The sequence below is a fragment of the Homo sapiens genome, chromosome 7 (genome assembly GCF_000001405.40).
Source record: "Homo sapiens chromosome 7, GRCh38.p14 Primary Assembly".
Classification (NCBI taxonomy): Eukaryota; Metazoa; Chordata; class Mammalia; order Primates; family Hominidae; genus Homo; species Homo sapiens.
In genome coordinates this window covers 138,574,863-138,589,996 of record NC_000007.14, presented here as the reverse complement: position 1 = coordinate 138,589,996, position 15,134 = coordinate 138,574,863, and the positions used below count along the sequence as shown (strand labels likewise).

The 15,134-nt window shown below is 36.7% G+C and overlaps 1 protein-coding gene across 3 annotated transcripts in view; it reads right to left on the bottom strand.

Annotated features, from left to right (window-relative positions):
- The window catches only part of TRIM24 (tripartite motif containing 24), a 129,738-nt gene continuing 114,604 nt past the window's right edge, over positions 1 to 15,134 (bottom strand). For all 3 annotated transcript variants that reach the window (NM_015905.3, NM_003852.4, XM_024446981.2), the window contains exons 13-19: positions 13,552 to 13,624; positions 12,409 to 12,577; positions 10,465 to 10,793; positions 9,303 to 9,435; positions 8,226 to 8,300; positions 5,998 to 6,147; positions 1 to 5,255 (exon numbers count right to left, since the gene is read on the bottom strand). In NM_015905.3, the coding sequence (NP_056989.2) occupies positions 5,046 to 5,255; positions 5,998 to 6,147; positions 8,226 to 8,300; positions 9,303 to 9,435; positions 10,465 to 10,793; positions 12,409 to 12,577; positions 13,552 to 13,624 (1,139 nt within the window). In that variant the 3' untranslated portion in view covers positions 1 to 5,045. The remainder of the gene's footprint in view (positions 5,256 to 5,997; positions 6,148 to 8,225; positions 8,301 to 9,302; positions 9,436 to 10,464; positions 10,794 to 12,408; positions 12,578 to 13,551; positions 13,625 to 15,134) is intronic.

Here is a 15,134-nt window from a genome sequence, read left to right as displayed (position 1 = left end):
TGAAAACGTGGGAAAATAATTTTATTAAATGTTTAACTTGCAACTAACAAGGAAAGATTTTTTTAGGACTCAAATTAGGACTTAATTTGAAAATTAAGGAAGCAAATAGGTTGGCCCCATGAAAGATCTGTTAAATATCCAATAGTAAATTTAAAACATAGTAATTCTCAGAAATTACAAGAATCAAAACCTTTCAAACTTTACAAGTGGAATTAACATAGCTAAATTTTTAAAATGACTTCCAAAGGTCCCCACTCTGTGTCTTTCCCCCCTTCCCCAAATAACTTCCAGACAACTAGAAGTCTTCATGGCATCTTTGGTCCTCCTACTTTGGGAGTGGCTGGTATGAGGCAGAATAATCCAAGATACTTACCACCCGCTTTCCTTCCTGTCAGATTTTTTTTTAAATCTTTTAAGGCTGGTGAAATACACGTGTTAGAATTTTAAAAAACTGTTTTCCTATTACAGCTATTTATGGACTAGTAGCTTGCCCCTATATGGATCAATGTTACAGCTAGGGGAACAACAGTAGTAGTAATGGAGACTCAAAGTAGATAGAACTCTGCTGAAGTAACATTCAGTAATTTTTCTATTAAAAAATCCTTGTGGTAAAATATTGACAGTAAAAATCCATCAAAGTTAGTTTTTATTAAAACCAAAGCACCAATCTGCCCCCAAAAATTAAAGACGAAGACTACTGCCTCAGATGTCCCTCTCAATAAGTAAAACCTTCATGGAGAAAAATCTGTGATCTGACTGACTAGCATTATTCTCACTCAGAAACATGACACCAGTATGTGAATTACAACAGTAAATTCACATTCAAGATGAATATGCAATAAACATTTATAAAAAGACATCAACTATTAATTTACATAGGGCTATAAAATACTTTTAAAAATATGTACATGGTTATTCAAAAGGAGGAGCTCAATTTCAGTAAGAAATTATATGGTTGAACGCATGGTCACCATTTTTTTTTTTTTTTGAGACAGAGTTTTGCTCTTGTTGCCCAGGCTGGAGTGCAATGGTGCAATCTCGACTCACTGCAACCTCCACCTCCTGGGTTCAAGCTATTCTCCTGCCTCAGCATCCCAAAGTAGCTGAGATTACAGGCACCCGCCACCACACCCAGCTAATTTTTTTGTATATTCTGTTGAGGTGGGGTTTCACCATGTTGGCCAGGCTGGTCTTGAGCTCCTGACTTCAGGTGATCCACCCACCTCGGCCTCCCAAAGTGCTGGGATTACAGGTGTGAGCCACCGCGCCCGGCCATTCCCCATAATTTTTCTTTTTGTGACAGAGTCTTGCTCTGACACCCAGGCTGGACTACAGTGGTGCGATCTCAGCTCACTGCAACCTCTGCCTCCTGGGTTCAAGCCGATTCTCCTGCCTCAGCCTCCCGAGTAGCTAGGATTACAGGCATGGGCCACCACACCCTGGTGATTTTGGTATTTTTAGTAGAGATGGGGTTTCACCATGTTGGTCAGGCTGGTCTCAAACTCCTGACCTCAGGTATCTACCCACCTCGGCCTCCCAAAGTGCTGGGATTACAGGCGTGAGCCACTGCGCCCGACCCATTCACCATAATTTTAATGGCCAATCAGATCACTCAATTTCTCTCATTCACAACAAATACATATAAAATGAATGTATCTTCAATTTAAACCTAAAACCTGTTGTTCATATGCAGCAATTTACTTTGGGGATTCACATTAATTTGGACCAGAGCTCAGCAAAAGGAGTTCCTCTTCTCACTCTCTCTCCTTGGAACTCAAACGTAAGGAAGTGTCTAAGCACAGTAACAGCATAGCATATTGAAATGCAGTTTCATAAATGCAACAATCAGCTGTATACTCCCCCTTTTTTTGACTATGGAGGTAACCTTTTTGAAAGCATTCCTAAGCAAGTTATACTACATCTACACTACTATGTGGTAGTAAAATATAGCAGTAGTAAAGCCAGTTCTTTAGCTTAGAAAAGAAACTAAAACTACATTTTCCTTTTTAGTACCTTCCACTTTCCTACCCTTCCATTCAGAAAAGACAAGCAGGGCATGTTAATTCAAAAGACAAAATGATTACAATGCCAGATACCGATCTAAAATGTATTCTGCGTTGAATATGGTCTACATCCATCCATTTATACTTTTGCCATGGCCATATATATCACTGGTCAAGTACTTGGGCTTCCTTACACAGGAAAAGTCAGTTGCTTGGCACCTAGAAAAGCTGTCAGTGAGGTGGAACTGAGTAAATCCTAGCTCCTACGTGGTCTGCTCATCCATAAGCCCTAGCCAGAAGTGTGATAAACATTCAGCAATGGGGCCCTACTGGGCTCCTGATCCCAAATCCAGAGGGAAATCTCCCAGAGTTTATGGTCAAAGATGTACACCGGAGTGTACAAGTTTAGGTCAAGGTTACCTGAATCGCACTGAACTTTTGGGGGAATGCTTGATAAGTGAGTGTGGGTTATAGTTAGGCTCATTTTATGGTTTATTTCTATTTGAACAGAATTTAAGGATGACTTAGCTGAGATCCACCTGGGCACACAGGTACTTATTAATAAAGTCAAAGGATATTAATCTAAAGACCATTACACAAAGGCTATTTACAGAGAGAAACCCAAGACCTTTACTTTTTGTTTTTGAGACTGAGTCTCTGTCACTCAGGCTGGAGTGCAATGGTGAGATCTTGGCTCACTGCAACTTCTGCCTCCTGCGTTCAAGTGATTCTCCTGTCTCAGCCTCCTGAGTAGTTGGGATTACAGTTGCACGCCACCATGTCCGGCTAATTTTTGTATTTTTTGTAGAGGCGGGGTTTCACAATGTTGGCCAGGCTGATCTCGAACTCTTGACTTTGTGATCCGCCCACCTTGGCCTCCCAAAGTGCTGGTGGGATTGCAGGTGTGAGCCACTGCGCCCAGCCCCGATCTTTACTTTTAATATAATTATATTATGTATGACCAAAAGATGGTTCTCAACTGCCTTTCATTCAGCCAAAGATGGTTAGGGTGAAACAAATACTGTTTTGAAAGATAAATATGGCACTGAATGTAATAGTGACAGTTTGGGGTTCATTAGTCACATTTAGGAAATTATAGTTTTAGTCTCACAAGTTCTAACTCCCTTTTGTGATGATTCTCAAAATAATTTATCTGTTTTGCTCTGTTTTAACTTGGGAGACAAGTATGGAAGAATAAACTGTCAGACGAACAGTATTCTAAGATACCAACAATAAAATTATCAGCAAAAGCTCCACAGCTGCTGTGCTAAAAATAAAATGCTGGAGCAAAAAAAGACAAAAGGTGTATGCACTGTTATCAAAATCTGTTCAAACACTCTTTGGAGAACAAATGTCAAATGCAACTTTAAAACAACAATGACAAACATTACCATGTAACACATATTTGAAAAGTGAGTAGGACTTTTTAACAATACATAATTGACATATTATGAACAAGACCTATATATATAAACAATGGGGATCTATTGCTAACAAGTTATTTTCTCCCTGTATTTTATCTTTAGCAGTACCTGAAAACCCAATGAATTAGCCACAGGATATTTTCCACTTTAAGAAGTAAAGCCATGTAGATAAAACCAAGTCTTCTATGTTAAATTTATGGCAGGTGATATAATGCAAATAATAGCCTTCTTTCAAGTGAGCTCTTTTTATTCTATCATCCTAAGGAGAAAAATTTACTCCAGTTAATGTTTTATAAATACAGATTAACTTCGGCAAACCATTTAGATATTGTGTCAAATGCTGGATTAATGTATGGCACAGCAATTTTCTTCTATCTATCTATCTATCTATATCAGCTGAACCGGGTAGGTCTGGCACATTAAGAATATGCTTGTCCTCAGAAGATAAGTCTTTTGTACCTCTATCAATCAATCAGAAGAATAAAATCAGAAGTCAGATCAAAGATTAAGTTTGATGTTCTGACTCTCAAAAGAAAAACATGAGATAGATGCTTCAGGAAAAAAAAAAAATCACTATTAATTCCCCCCAGCTGCCTGCTCCCAAAATCCTACAACACATTTTCATTCCAAATTATAGACAGATGAAAACCACAAAAACGAGTCCCTTTCAGAGGAACTTATATTTAATGCCCAGTAGGGTATATGATGAAGAACCCTCACATCAAATACAGTGCACGCTGCTGTATTTATATTTTGGGTAGTTCCACTAAAAGCTATACTGCAAACAATGAGGCTTGTTGTAAAAGGATCACCTGTACAATTAAACCTCACATAGACACACAGCAAACCCAAATGTATATACTTCCCTCAGTGGAAGAAGTTGAAAATCTAGATCTAGAAATGTATAAAAAATGGCCTTGAAAACCTGCTATACCAAAATACCTCTACAGACAAGATAAAAACAAAAACAAAAATCAAACATTTGTTTTCCGGATTTTTCTTTAATACAGTTGCCATCTTACATGATGTACTATTAAGTGCCTTCTTAATAGCATCTAACCTACCCTTCTGTTGCACCGTTTGGCCTCCTGGGATGGAACTCTTGTTACCACCCATGTTTGTGGAGTACTGTTCTTCAGTACAGTACACCTAATTCATATTGTCAGGCCATATAATTCACGGGTAGTGGTATTAATTTCTAAAGCTGAATTAAAGCACACATCCAAACCACATATATTTTTTACTTTTCAACTTAAAGAGTTCATACAAAGTCTATTTCCTTTCTACAGTAGCTATCACTCCAGACTGTGGTTTAAAAATCCAAGAAGTGGGAAGAATGTCTTTGTTTTCAATGCTTCTTTCTTCCATCCTTTTTCTATCCTCCTTTTTTCCTTCTTTCCATTTTCTTTCTTCTATTCATCTCCTTCTTTCCTTTCTTTCTTAGTGATAAGAGGTTAACAGAAATGGGCTATTAAGGAAATCAAAGTCTAGTAAACGTCCAAAACAGAGATGAGAATAGTCACAAACTCTTCTTTTTGTAGTGATGTTAAATTACTGACAAATGTTTTTTTGAAAACAAAAAAATCTAAAAACCAGCACAAGCTAGTGGTGCTGCATATTATTTAAGCAACTGGCGTTCTTCAATGCTTTTGAGGCGTTTCTTCCGGGGCTGTACAAAGTCATCATCTGAATCATCACTAAATTTATTATCTTCTGATTCATTCCTGAATTCTGGTTTGGGAAACCTTTTTTCTGGATAGAGGTTCTTTAGAAGTTCTTCAAAATAATTTTCAAGTTTTATACCAGCATTGGCTACTTCTGAATCAGGCTGTGGAGTAAAAATAAAAATGAGTAAAAAAAGGACACACTTTTGACTTCTGAGATTATATATATTAATGAGCTGTTTTGAAAAGTGTTCATGCATAGTCATTGAAATAATAGTTTAGGACTAGACAAAGTCTCTGTACAGAAGGCCAGCTAAAATAAAAGATTCAGAAGTGTGGAAAAAAGATAAAAGTAAAAGCCTGGATTATTCTAAAAGAAGGTGGTAATGGTAGGACTATATTGCCAAACACATATCAGTTAGGATTCCATAACCATAGGATCATGAACCAGGTATTTTTAGAACAAATTAAATGTAGTACTATTAGAATGAGTAACAGAGAACAAACCACCAGCAGCAAAAGGTTCTAAGTCTGACTGATGTGTAGATGAACTGACAGATGAGAAATTTTTAAATTAGAGCTATTTGGCCCACATCCTTAATATTTCAAGATCAACATAAAAATAAGAAATACAGGTGGGAATGATAAAGAATATGTCTAGGTCAGAGAAAAACATTTTGTCTTTCAGTTATCAGCTGTAATTTGCATTTCCATCACCATCTAATAAACCTTTGAATATAAATGTGGACAGAGTTATCTGAATTATCTCTTGCATTCCCTGATCTGAAAAGTTGGAAATTTATTCTAACTCAGACATCTTGGTCTCCTATGTTGACAAGGTGTTTAGTAATAAAATGATTTTCACACTGCTGTTCCTTCCTGCCCCCTTCCCTCCCCTAGCCTCACCTCATTGAATTCAGCACAGTTTTGAAAGATCAATCTAAAATCAGCTACAAAATCTTCAGGTTTTGAGTACATGGAATAATCTTCTTGTAGTCTTTTCTTGATGGTTGACAAATCCATTGGATTTTTAATTATTTTGTAATAATCAGGCACCTATTAAAAAAATGAGATGTTATAATACAAATAGCTAAATTCCACCTTGTCCTAAATATATTCTATGAGATGTGCTCTAAAATTCAGAATGTTCTCATTGCTTTTCTCTGTGCTATTTGCCATTAGTAAAGAAACCCATTTAACAGTGTTTACAAGTGCCCACTGCCTTCCACACACACTGGTAAAGGTTTGTGTGACTTTTTCCAAAAGTTTAACCAATTATTATTTTTGAGACAGGGTCTTGCTCTGTCACCCAGGCTGGAGTGCAGTGACACAATCTCGGCTCACTGCAAACTTTGCCTCCTGGGCTTAAGTGATCCTCTCACCTCAGCCTCTCGCGTAGCTGGGGTTACAGGCATGCGCTAACATAGCCGGCTAATTTTTGTATTTTTTGTAGAGATGGGGTTTTGCCATGTTGCCCAGGCTGGTCTCAAACTCCTGGGTTCAAGCAATCTGCCTGCCTCAGCCTCCCAAAATGTTGGGATTACAGGCGTGAGCCACTGCACCCAGCCCCAATTATTTTTAATGAAAAAACTTGTCTTCACATATTTCCTCTTAATCATCTAGATTTTTTTCTTCATTATTAAACAAAAAGCAATTACTAGGAAGAATATCATTTCTAGTAGAATCTGACATGTTTTTGCTGCATGTATTATACAAGAGGAAGAAGGACTTTGAATCTGGGTTTAATCCCCAGCTCTGCTGCTCAGTGTCATGGTCCTGGGTAAGCTACTTAACCTCAGTTTCTTCATATTTCAAATAGGGATAATCCTGCCAAACTCACAGCATTTTGTACAGACTAAATGAGATGATATTTATTAAGAAAAAGGGGGCTACTTTGTCATTGTTGGTATTAATAACGTAACTGTAAGCCAGGATAATAAAAAGTACAATTCAAGGTTACATTTTCAAGTTGGTAATGTTGTTACAAGCCTCTCGACTTCTTTACCCTGCCTCTTTTGGGTACAAAAGACCCTTCTCCCTGGAGGTATTTATTTCCTATATCAAGTTCTCAAAACCTGTTCTTAAGAGAGAAGCTGACTGTATTTACTAAGCTGATTTTCTTCTCAACTTTGTATTAATTTGAGATTTATCAAACTGTAGAACAAATGAAAAAAAATTTTTTTTTTGGGACAGAGTTTTGCTCTTGTTGCCCAGGCTGGAGAGCAATGGCGCAATCTCGGCTCACTGCAACCTCCGCCTCCGGGGTTCAGACATTAGAAGAATACTCTTTTGGGGTACCAGGCCCTTTCCAGCACTCTAAAATTATGCGTTAAAGTCACATCAAACTTTTTTTTTTTTTTTTTTGAGACGGAGTCTTGCTCTTTTGCCCAGGCTGGAGTGCAGTGGCATGATCTCGGCTCACTGCAAGCTCCGCCTCCCAGGTTCACGCCACTCTCCTGCCTCAGCCTCCCGAGTAGCTGGGACTACAGGCGCCTGCCACCACACCTGGCTAATTTTTTGTATTTTTAGTAGAGACGGGGTTTCACCGTGTTAGCCAGGATGGTCTCTATCTCCTGACCTCGTGATCCGCCCGCCTCGGCCTCCCAAAGTGCTGGGATTATAGGCGTGAGCCACCGCGCCCGGCCACAGTCACATCAAACTTTCAATATGAACCTTTCTGAAGTCAATAGCACCTGCGCACATACTTCCTCAACTTTTTTTGTATTGGTAACGTCTACTTATTTACTTGAAGTCTGGACCTATAAAGAAAAATAAGTACGGAAAATGTAGCAGGGAGAGATGTCTTTATTTCAAAGTTTTTTTTCCAACAGCTTCGGAAACATGCCTAAAACTCCTGAAATACAGAAAATTAACAGAAATCACCCTAAACATCCCAGTGGTAAGTAAAATAGATGAGAAAAGAAAGAAGAAAGAATACCTGAGAAATGAACAGAAGTTTTGGGCCACTTACTAAAATGTACCTACATAGGATCAAAGCATTCAGTATGTATTATTAAGATTTAAGGTTTAGATATTAAAAAGTACTGAAAAATGGTAATATAAGCTAGATTCTCATAAAATTCCAGAAAAGCATTCCACTGTGTAAACATGCAGAAAATGACATTAATACTTACAGTTAGAGGAACAGGGTCTTGAAAAGCCAGGCTCATTTCATGGCAGTAAAGAAATAAAAGTAGGCGCTCACACTTCTAAGCAAAAATAAATAAAAACTGAGATAAAATATTATAAAACAATGAATTCACAGCTTATTTTAAATAACAATCTCAGAGGTCCCAAAGTGTCAGACTAAAAATTAAAACCCAGATGAATACAAAAAAATTACTGATTCTCGGAGTTTTGCTCTCCTTCCCAATATTTGGGAACAGGCCCTGTAATTGAATGAACTAAGACAATCACTAGAAAACCATTTGAAGTTTTCTAACAATAAATTTGCACTTATTGCTCCAGTCTGTGTATTATAAATTAGTAATAGTCTATAAAGGAAGAACGTACGTCTCTTAGGAGAACTGGAGGTGGACCTTCTCAATATGCATCCAGACCTAAGGCACCTTTCTGCATGCCGAAGGTCCAACCATGTGCTCTGCTATTCATATACTTCCCTGCTTTATGGGTTTATCCCAGTAACCACTGAGTAGTACTGGCAGTGAATGGGCACGTCCCCTCTTGCATGACAACTTTCATATTGACTGTTCTACTTAATAATTTAGCAAAGGAGTTTTTTTGGTAACAAAGTGTTGACTTGGTAGCTTTAAATGTTATTTACAGTTAAATATATCAGTTGGCTTTGATGCATAAGTCTAGTCCCATTCAGTGAAAAAAAAGGAATTATTTCCAGGAAGAGTAAAGAAAAAACCCAGCTCCTTGGTGGCAGTTCTAAGGAAAAATCTTATCTATAGTAGGAAATAAAACAAAATAGAAATTTACTTAAGGTAGATTAAAAGTCTAGGGTACATATTCCATCTTGTTCAGGTACAATAAGCTTCTATAAAATACATGCATTAATTCTGTGATTTTTTTAATTTAAAGAAAGTTACAGTCTTTAAGATTCATGTACCTTTGTAAACAAAAAAAAATACTCTTAAATAAAAAGGATCAGTATAAAATCTGGATGGATATACACCTCTTTGACAAAAGGTACCACAGTACAATATTGCACTACAATACAATAATGCATCTTACCAAAGACTTACCCTTTTATCTATAGGTGTTAACTTAACAAGGCCTTCAGTTTTCTTTTTTTCTGAGTTGTGACTGGGAGCATCACAATCATATTCAACTTCTGGTTTAGATAAGTCTCGGCAGAAAGTGCAAATCCACTCTCCACTGTTAGGGGACAATGTACTTTTGAATTCCTAATGCATCATTTCCTCTCTTCACTATTTCCCTTTCCCACCTCCTCCATGACATCTATGATACAGAATTGTTCATTTGGCATGAATTTTAATCACTGAGCATTTACCACATACCACTAGGTATACTGCACCATGCTGAGAGGAAACAGCAGAAATATAATGCAAGGGCCTAACAAACATCAAAATCTAGTTAAGAAGGTGTGAGATACATATATTGAAAAAAAAGAAACACCTAAACAAATTTAATCTAGGGCTCACATATCTAGGGCATAATTGAATTTTTTTCCTCCAAAGGATTCAGGAACTAGAAAAGCTCTTTGTACTATTCTTGTTACTCTTAAGTTTATAAAATTAAATTTTCAAAAGTATGGCCTTCCAAGAACTGAGAGATCAACCCAATGGCTCTTAACCATCTTGGTCATGATGATGATCATCATCCCCATAGGGTATGAGAATTTACTTGAAATACTTGTAAAAGATACAGTTCGATGCCTGGCAAAAAGACATAATAAACTGTGGTAGCTGTTATGCATAGGGACATTGTTCCTTATGATGATCCCTTGTGATAATTTAAAGGGCCTGTTATTTTTTTTTCTTTTTGTAATGACTAGGGAGAGGGTCTTGCTCTGTTGCCCAGTCTGGGGTGCAGTGGTGCAAGCACAGCTTACTGCAGCCTTGACCTCTCAGGCTCAACCAATCCTCCCACCTCAGCCTCCTGAGTAGCTGGGACTACAGGCATGCACTACCATACCCGGCTAATTTTTTATTTTGTACAGACAGACAGGGTCTCCCTGTGTTGCTCAGGCTGAATGATTAGTTTTTTGAAAGAAGCACAAAGAATAAGCGGAAGGGTATGGGAAAACCTAGACTATTCATTGGGATTTTGGAGTATACACTTGTGCCAAGTGGAATTTCATTTAAGTTTTTTCAAAGGCTTTCTGTTAAAATAATCTTCAAAAGTTTACAGTAAAAGAATGTGGGAAGGGAAGTACTATCTTACCTTGGAAAATTTGTCAATGTGGGCACATGACAAGAAAGATGGAATACTTTGGGGCACTTTTCACAGCAGAGGAGTTCCCCTCCGTTTTGACAAACTGCACACCAGTCCTCATTGGGGTCATCCTCTTTCCTTGTCTCTCCAACATGAAGAGGTGACTTCTGGGAAGGATCCAACCATTCAGACTTTCCATTTGAGGAATTGTCCTGGTGAAGTCCAGGTTGATCTCCTGTACTATCAGGGGCATCTGATCTTAGCACAGTCTCCTCAGAAGTAGAGCTCTGACTGCTATTTAAGAGCAGGGAGGTGAGTATGCTTCTTGGATAATTGGCCTGTAGTAGAAAAAAAATATATTTAACTGGCTTTAAAAAAAATTTTATCACTAATGCAATTCTGAACTGTAGACCACTCTCTGGTGAGCACCTGGCTGCTTCAAAGGAATCTTCAGGAGAAGGGTATATGTTTATTGCTAACTGGCTTAGAAGACATGAACCTCTACTAAAAAATACCAAAATAAATAGAGAAAAAATCTAAGTCTGGGGATGGCTACAGAAATTAGAGAATGGGTTGGGTAGAGTGGAAGTCAACCACATGACCTATATATATATATATATACCTCACTGGAGCTGTTCATTCAAATTATACCTAAGATACAAAAATTATAAGATGAATCTAAACTTTCTGTTGAAGCCCAGGATGGTGAAAATTTCAAATCAATAACAAAAACAATCTCCTTCAAATGTTTTCAAAAATTTCAAAGTAATAAATGTAGATATAGTTAAAAGCACTTATTCCTTGGAAGAACTATTTTCAAACCTAGCTTTTTCTTCTGCTGTTTACCTCCATATTTCTAAATAAAATGATTGTTAAAAATTGCAATACATCTATAATCCTTACTAGTGAAGATCAGGAGATTAGGTTTTTACATTCTGATTCTCCAACCCCGTCCTGCTTCCATTCGTGCGTGCGCGCACACACACACACACACACACACACACACACAAAACCACCACCACCACCATTCACCCCATCCCTTTAACTTAGTTTTGATTAAGCATTGATTGTTTTAGTTGGTAGGTACTGGTATAACTGTTTATTGCCAGTATCTATTCTAACTGATCAGTATTTGTCTTGTACTGGTTAAGTATTCTGAAAATCACAATTTTTGGTTAAGTGCATATTCAGGTTATATCCTGATTGCATCACAGTTTTTAGTTACATTCGTACTCAGGTGTTTGTTTACATCATTATTATTATTATTTAAATATTGTTCACTGCAGACCCACAAAATGTACTAAGACATTTTTTGTACAACTTTTTGTTTTTACTAAGACTCTGTAATTACCTTATATTTTCAGTTGCTTATCTTTCTAGGTACCTATTTCTATGTTATTCTCACAATCTCCAACAGGAGATTCTCAATACTGTTGAAGCATTTTTCTCCCTTGGGAGTCCTATGTCTTCCTGCTACAGACTACTGCACAAGCTGCTGCTGCTGCTGTACTGGGGGTTGCCTTTTTCTTCTGTGTCAGATTCCATTTTTGGAATCTTATGTCTTCTTTCTTGTTTTACTATATTTTTGATGATTCATATTATCAAGTATCTTCCTGAGAATGAGTACATAAGAATTATTTTGAGAACTTGCACGAAAATGTTTAGTTAATCTTCAAGTCAATCTGATTGATAATTTGCCTGGGTATAAAACTCTGATTAAAGAAAGAATATCTCCTTTTAACTGCCCAGCCTCCATATCTGAGCCTCTGATTTTTAAAAACTTTCCTGTTTTTCCATCTTTGTCTTTTTGTTTAATTTACTGAGAGATTCCCTCAAATTGTCTTTAAATCCTTTTAAATATAACATTAAAAAAAAACTCCTAAGAGCTATTTAAAAGATTCTCTCACCCTACCCACCATGCATAGGAATAGCATTGCAAGCATTCATAATTACATTTTGAGGCCTAGATTCTTCATCTGATTCTTGCTTCACTATAACAACAGGGAAATCATAATTTTCCGGTGGTCCACTGTTTTCTTGTTTTATTCGAATTGGCTCCAGCATGACCACTGGGACTTTGTGTGTAGAGTCAGCTCCTGCTGGTTTGCTGGAAGAGCCAGAGCTGTAAGTATGAGAGAGAAGAAAAAGCAATCTAAGAATGTTAAGCTAAATACCTCATAAAAAGTATAACAACAACTTTCTAAAATACTGTATCTTCACAACAATAAGTATGTTAACATCAGCAATTAATGATGCATAACAAATGAAACTGGTGTATGCAAGTTTCATTTATGATAAAAATGTTTTACATATTAACCTATCTAAATAGTTATATATCTAGAAAGATGTTTCAATAAACCTAAACTTTTAAAAACCTGAGGCTTTACAATTAGGCAACCAGATTTAGTATCTTAGAACTGGCATCTGATTTTAGGCTTTCTCATTTCCTTCTCTAGTCAGTAGCAAAGTGAATACTTTGGTGAAGACAATGAAATAATCATGTATTTACACAATACTATTTAAAGAAGGTAGTGGGTCAAAAAGCTTTTACAGAGATTCACTATGTTCTCATGGGATTAAAGGCAAACTTTTCTCCCTCAGACAATTCTTCCATATGATAAAGTAAGAACTGGGTTCACTAGCTAGGAGGAATTTTCAGGCATAATGCAGGGAAGAGGAGAGCAGTTGCTTAAAATATAGAATTTCAATAACTGTATATTTATTTTAAAGTAGAATCAACATTTAGTCATTAGAGATCAAATTAGCATAAAATTTTATCTTTTCTCTAAATTTGTGTTTCTATATAGTGTACTGTGTTATGCCTATTCATTTTTATGTTTTCTTTGCTATTATATGAATATCCAACATTTCTTATTTTCAACATATTGACAAATATTCTTCTATCTTCAAAGGTAAATTTGTACTTTTGTTAATCCCTTAACTAATTCATTAAAATATATAGTAGTTATTAAAATTTTAATTAAAAATAAAGGAAATTGTTCAAAATATATTGAGTATCAAAACATGTTGAACACTGGCAAAAGAAATCTAATTAGAGATTTTTATATACTAGAAAATATGGTTTAGTCAGTTTACCTTCCTCGGCTTCCAACGCTGGAGGCACTAGGTGAACGTATTGGGGGGTGTACACTAGTCATAGTAACAGGTCCTGAGGAGGGGGAAACCATACATTCATAAAACGAATGAATAATTATGCATTGAAGTCCTGTTGAATGTGTTCACTTAGCACTACATTGAAACTGGGAACCATGATGAAATTCTATGAAACAGTAAGTAGTTGCTGAATTTTCAGCAGTCTGTTACAGCCTGTTACACCGGCAGGGTTTTTCAGCCTCTGCACTATTGACTTTTGGGCCAGATAATTCCTTGTTGTGGAGGAATGTCTCTGCATTTCAGGATGTTTAGCAACATCCCTGGCCTCCACCAATTATTAGATACCAGTGGCATCTCTCTATACTTCCCAGCTTGGGGTGTGACAATCAAAAACATCTCCAAACATTGCCAAGTCTTTCTGTGTTAGAGTAACAGGGGTAAGATCTCAGTGAGACCCTAGTGCCAGTGGAAGCTACAGAAGACAACGAAAGGTGGTACGGGCTGATAGAAAAGGAGTTCAAAAAAGAAAACCAAGTAAACAAAATTAAACCAACTAATGGAAGACACAGAAAGATCAATGGGTTCAGACTTAAGGCAATAAACAAAAGAGGGATTCTGGACTACTGCCCTAAAAAGATTAAGAAGCTATGCTCTGGTGGTAGTGTAGACTGGAACAAGGAAGATCTAATTAAAAGCAGCCAAGAAAGAAGGAAAACTGTTGCAAATAATTGATTTGAACTGATGAAGGCCCAAACTAAACAGTAACAAGTAGGAATACAATGAAAGTGGGAAGTAGAAAAAAAATTCCGAATTGACAGAAGTTCTAAAAGGTTTGATGAACAACAGGATGTGGCTGATAAAATGAAGATTATCATTTCATTGGTTTGTAAACTCTGGAGAATTTAATTTAAAAATAAAAGGCCTGGACAACAAAGACCCGTCTCTAACCAAAAAAAAAAAAAAAAAAATTAGCCAGGCCTGGTGGCACCTACCTGTAGTCCCCACTACTGGGAAGGCTAAAGCAGGAGGATCACTAGAGCCCAAGCGTATGAGGCTGCAGTGAACCATGATTGCTACACCCTGGGCAACAGAGTGAGACCCTGCCTCAAAATCAATCAAAACAATGGCTATTTATAATCTCCTGATAATATAAGAATACATGCTTCATTTTAGAATAGTTGAAAACTATAAAAATATATAACATTTAAGTAGCCCATAACTTCTCCATCCATATATAAACACTGCTAAGGTTGATTGATATATCTCTTTCCAGTTTTAAACATACTTTTACATCTTTTATATGGTTCTGTATACTTGTTTTCACTAAACAGTAGTCCATGAGCATGCCATTAAAAACTCTACATAAGCATTGTCTGAATAGGTAAATAATCTGTTTACAAGTGAGCACATTCTAATTTATTTTTATCCTCATATTTGGGCACTGCTTCAAAATTTTAACTACTGCAAATAATGCCTTAATAGTAATATAAATATTAATAAATACGATCTGCCTATCCAGTTCCTAATTATTTCCTTATAATTGGCATATTAAAATGGAAATTACT